The 5,608-nt window shown below is 45.5% G+C and overlaps 1 protein-coding gene and 1 pseudogene across 2 annotated transcripts in view; both read left to right on the top strand.

The window, feature by feature from the left end:
• Positions 1-5,608, top strand: part of ASIC2 (acid sensing ion channel subunit 2) — a 1,143,682-nt gene that overhangs the window by 622,230 nt on the left and 515,844 nt on the right. The gene's annotated exons all lie outside the window — the stretch shown is intronic.
• Positions 779-4,752, top strand: AA06 (uncharacterized LOC100506677; annotated as a pseudogene). The gene is made up of 3 exons (NR_037584.2): positions 779-934; positions 1,026-1,089; positions 4,341-4,752. The product of NR_037584.2 is annotated as an uncharacterized LOC100506677 (transcript).

Genomic DNA, 5,608 nt, shown 5'->3' with positions numbered 1-5,608 from the left:
TGCCAGGATCTAAAAACGCTTTGAAGGCTGCATAGGACATTGTAAGATGAGACACATCACCACACGGACCAATCCCCCACAGATCTGCATCATTTTAAAAATGATCTGTTTGGCAATCAGCACATACTGCTCCTGCCTCGTGAGCAGAGAGAGGGTTCTCATCGGCAAGAAGTTGAAGCTGTTCATTTTCTAAGACTTCTCCCTCTCAGCTTGATTCTGCATGCTCAAGGTTGTCTGGGGTCCCGAGCAATCAGAAATGATTTGTGTCAAAGAGCGCATTACAAGAATCATTTGTCACTTCTGGTTCGCGTTTGAATTTGAAGAATGATGCTGGGGAGTGATCTGAAGGCATGATGTGAGGTGTTGTTACGATGAGTAGCAAAACCATTATGTTAACCTTCTTGGGAGCTGAGCTCTGGGGTTCAATTTTGACAGCATCGTAGCAAGGGCAGAAATTTCCAGCCCCCACAATGAGATGGACTGGGAAGTATTATGAATACCTCCCCGTAAGAATAGCTTATGATTAAATGACAATCTTCTCAAAAGAAAATTAGAAGCATAGTAGCACAAAGCATCCTGGAATGATTTTTGGGGAACAGCTGGTTTAGCCCTTCACCTTACAGAGAAACATTGAGGTGCAGAGAGTTTTTGTGACCTTGTGGCCACAAAGTTAACTTTCCTGTTGATTAGATAGTGTCTTCATCTTGCAAAAGCTGACAAGTGGGTTTAGAATATTGATCTCGGAATTTAGAACACCAAGTTCTAGGTGCAGCTTATCTTCCATCCGGCTATGACTTCCGCAAGACAATCCACTTCTTTGCATTTCTGTCTATCTCCCTGAAAGAAGACATTGGTGATTCCCCAGGTCTCCTACAACTCTGAAATTTTGATTCCAGGCAATCCATGGGGCAGACTTTTTATCCTTATTTGACAGGTAAGATAACTAAATGCCAGAAATCTGGAAAAGCTTCTCAGACAAGGCCTTTTATTTGAATCTTGTGACACAAGTAGATTTCTTTTAATAGATAGAGAAGATGTCATGGCCCTGTAAGTCAAGAGAACAGGATGGCCAAAGGCAAGAAGAAAAAGGTAGGGCACTTTAAGAAAATTTCATATACTTGATTATGGCTACATAATAGAATGTGAGAGACAGGACAGAGGAAGAGCATACTGAAACAAAGCTTATTTTTTCTTTCTTTCTTTCTTTCTTTCTTTCTTTCGCTCTTTCTTTCTTTACTCTTTTTGGCTCACTGCCACCTCTGCCTCCTGAGTTCAAGCGATTCTCCTGCCTCAGCCTCCCTAGTAGCTGGGATTACAGGCATGTGGCACCACACCAGGCTAATTTTTGTATTTTTAGTAGAGATGGGGTTTCACCATGTTGGCCAGGCTGGTCTTGAACTCCTGACCTCAGGCAATCTGCCTGCCTCAGCCTCCCAAAGTGCTGGGATTAAGGCATGAGCCACTGCACTCGGCCTGAAATACAGCTTAGAATCAGATCATGGAGAGCTTTGAATATCAAGTTCAAGGGCATAATATCTCTGAGCCAGTGGTTCCCAAATCATATGGCATATGGCAATCTTTGGACGTATTTTTGGTTGTCACTACTAATAAGGATGTTGTTAAACATCCTACAATGCACAGGAGAGCCCCAGCCAACAAAGAGTTATCTAGCCCCAAATTGCCACCAGTCCCAAGGCTGAGAAATACTGCTCTAGGCAGAAAGAGGAGAGGTTCTCTGCAGACTTGTATCGATTCTATCGAGGCTATCTTGGGCTGGGTGAGAGGCAAGACTGGCGGCAGAAGGCTGCCACAATCATCTCGTGAAAAGATGATGCAGGTCTGAGCTGAGACAGGGTCAAGAGGACCAATGTCAGTGACGTGGAAGAGATGGAAATGACAGATTATATGGTTTCCCCCATCCATTGCACTAGCACCTGCCAGCTCCAAGCCACCTTTTTACAGCATCTTCTTTCTTTTTCTTTCCTATTCACTTGCTCTGCTGTCCCAAGAGTCAGTGGGTGAGAGGAGATTTGGGACTGGATTTCACCTCCCAGATCTTCTAGTGGCCCATCATAGTAGCCTCACTTTTAATCAAACCCAGTCCTGGAAGTAGAAGGAAGGTCAGGAGCTGACACATGCAGACTTCCTGCAATTTTATTTTATAATTATTTGTGTCATTATTAGTTTAATAGTTTCTAGCACAAGATTGTAAATTCTGTGAGCAGGGACCATGTGGATCATGCATTCCCACAGCCTGGCACAGTGCCTGATATGTAGGAGATGCTTAGGAAAATGGGTTTGATGAATGACCCTTGACTTCATGGGTGAGGTTGGTTAGGCATCAGGCGCTTGCCGAGGGCAAACCGTGGAGGTGCCAGCTTAGTGGACTCAGCCTCACCCCTCTGGCTGAAGAACAGACTGGGTGTTGGTTCTGGCTCCTCTCACTGCATCCAGCCACAGACACAGACCCACCTCCCTGGAAGCAAGAAGAAAGTGGAGGACAGATGGCCAATAAAAAAGACCTGAAAGTGTCCAGTATGATCGCTCAACCCTTCCCATACACACTCCTCTTGGGCATCCCTTCCATTATAATACCTTTTCCCTTTCCATGTGGCCCTTGACCTCACCTGGAAAACCGAGTGGGAGGCTAAGGGGAGAACAAAGGGCTGGGAACACAGTGTGATCATTTCTGCTCACGAGACAGTCAGGGAAACGCTTCCCAACCTCGAGCACCTCACCATCAGAAACTTGAGACAGATTATGGGCACCCCCCAGGTGATAGAAAAAGAAGCTGGGAGTTGGGGACGTAGAGGATGGAGGAAAGAAGGGCCTCTCTCCTTGGCAGTGGGATAAGCCCTAGGAAGTCGTGACCCACTGGGAGGTGTGTGGATGTATGCAACCACAAGTGCGATGGAGAAGTCTTTAAACATTGGCTTCCCTGCAATTTGCAGAATTTTTAGCAGTGACTCCAGGAACACCAACCCCACAGCTCAAGGAATCAGGCCAACCTAATTCTAAGAGACCTGGGCAGCCATCTGGCCCTAAACCCCCAGATGGCAAGAGCAAGGGCCTCTGCAAGGTCGAACGCCTCTCAAGAAGCAGAGAGGATTGAGGCCCACGTGTCTTGACTTTCCAGCACTTTTACTGCCTGGGGCTTGGTCTGCTCAAGATGTCAGGTCGGTACAGATAAAGGCAGCTCAGATTTGGTGTAACCCCCACCCACTGCCCCCTGCCCCCTGCCCAGCTTTATGTACCCCAAGACTACAGAAACAAAGCACACTCCTTCTTGGTGGCACCTGGTTCTGCCAGGAGTTCTATGATCTTGTCCTAAGCCTTTCTGGAACGTTTGCCTTAAAGGTCCAGGAGGCCATGCCTGTAAACTCTTTCTACTGATCGAGGCCTGAATCACAGAGTCTAGGGTTCAAACCTTCAAGCTGTGTGATTTTGAGCTAAGTTAGTCAATAAGTTAATAAATTAAGTTAAAAATTAGTAATTAATTTTTAATAAATAAAAATTTTTAAGTTAAATATTTTTTTCTTTAACTTATTTAAGGCTCTGCTTATCTACTGGTAAAATGGGAAGATAGTAGCTAACTCAGCAAGTTCTTGTCTAATTAAATGAAATCAAATGGAACAATGTACAGAAAAGCACTTTATATACCTAACACAGAGCAGGAACTCGAAAACCTTTTGTTAAATGAGTGAATGCATAAACTAATAGAAATGATTGACTTTTATCAAAGCTATGAGAGGCAGTCTCCAACCCCTTGGTACCTGTGAGGTTGGTCCTGCATGACCTGGCAAAGCTGGCCTACCTCTGTCTCCCTAGGCAGGACTATGAGCTGTTTATCAGTATTTTAGGTTCCAACCACCTCTCTCTTGAGCCTGGCAGCAACACAGTCTCCTTGAAAAAAGGGCTTAGTGCAGGCCCAAAAGGCCTCATGCTCCCATCTGAGCCCCTGACCTGAGCAAAGGTGACCTGTACACTCGCCTATGTTCATGCCAATTAAGTGGTTTCATTAAAAGGTCTGGCAGTGTCTGTGGGCAGCTCCAGGGTGACCCATGAATTAGGAAGGCCTTGCTGCCATCTGCCAAGACTTCCCCTTGCTTGCCATGGGGCATAACAGACAAAGGGGACTGACCTCTCTCTCTTTTTCTTTTTCCAGCCCAAGCATGCTAGGAATAAAGGAAGTCTAGAGACAATCTCAAAGTCGGTTTTATTTTTCTAGAAGCTCCCAGTTTAATTAGGTCTACAAAGCATTTAGGTTCTGTGTTGGTTGAAATTGACCCAACACACAGAATATTCCATGACATATTTTGCTACCTGCTTTCTACTCACAGACACTGGAAGGGGCCCCTTTCTCCTTCAGAGAGCCTCGTTCTTACACAAGGGCCAAGAAACAGGACATCTAAGGACTTGGAAGCCCCAGGCACGTGACCCCCGGCCTCTCTGTTCTCCAGCTAAGGAACGCTTTATGGCCTTCGCATTTATTCATGTATTTCCTGGACCTACTTTGTACTAGGCCAAGGGAAGTGAGCTGAATAAGACCCAGCGGGGTTGAGAGACATAAAAATGGCTTATTGAAATTCAATACTCCAAGGGCTGGAAGAGATGGATGAGTAGCGAGCCGGAGGAGCACAAAGGCAGGAGTCCCGCTGTCTGCCTAGGGAATGCTTGAGGAAATAAGAATAGCCCACATTTATTAAGCACACAGTACAAGCAAGCACTCTATTAAATGCCTTACATGATGTATCTCATTTAATCCTCATGTGGAAGGGAAAGGAACCACGTGTGTCTATTGAGAAGTGACTGTTCTAAGCACTGTGTTAAATGCTTTGCAGAAATGATTCTGTCTTCTTCTCTTGATAACTGTGGCATATACATATCATTAGTCCCATTTTACATACAGTGAAACTGAGTTTCAGGGAAGTTGAGTAATGTGCCTCAATGCTGGAGTCCAAATAAAACCCCAAACAATCTGTTGTCTAAACTATTGCTTCTCAAACTTGGAAGTGAATGAGAATGAGCTAGGGGTCTTGCAGATTCTACTTGAGTAGTTCTGGGGTGGTGTCTGAGATTCTGCAGTTCTGACAAGCTCCCAGGTGATGTTGATGCTGATGCCGCTGGCCCAGGGAGCACACATGAAGAAACGCGCTCTGTACCATCCTTGGTGGTTCTCAGCCCCAGGTGTACCACAGAATCAGCCAGGGAGCTCTTAAAATACATCAGTGTTTGGTTCCTACCCCCTGGAGATTCTGATTGGACTGGAGTGAAGTGGGGCTCGGGCATCACTGTATTTTAAAAGCTCCCCTACAGGGCAGTCAGGGTTGAAAATAATTGCTATACTTTTAACTGTCCTTTTTAAAGCTAGTCTTAAAAATTTAGTCCAAACCCAAGATGTCCCCAAAGTTCACTCCCCTTGTGGGAGCCCCCAGCCAGTTGGATTCAGCCTTGGAAGCTGACTCATTTGGCCAAACTCTCTATTATTCTTTCCTCCTGAACTGTCCTGGAGTTTCCTGGCCACTTGGCTCTCTTACTCCCTCCAATATTGTAATCCCATTGAATCGGAGCCTGCCTCTGTCCTCTTTTCCTCACCATTCCCTGAGCA

Source organism: Homo sapiens, chromosome 17 (genome assembly GCF_000001405.40).
Source record: "Homo sapiens chromosome 17, GRCh38.p14 Primary Assembly".
NCBI classification, from domain to species: Eukaryota; Metazoa; Chordata; class Mammalia; order Primates; family Hominidae; genus Homo; species Homo sapiens.
Note: the sequence above shows the minus strand (reverse complement) of the source record. Positions and strands in the feature narration are given on the sequence as shown.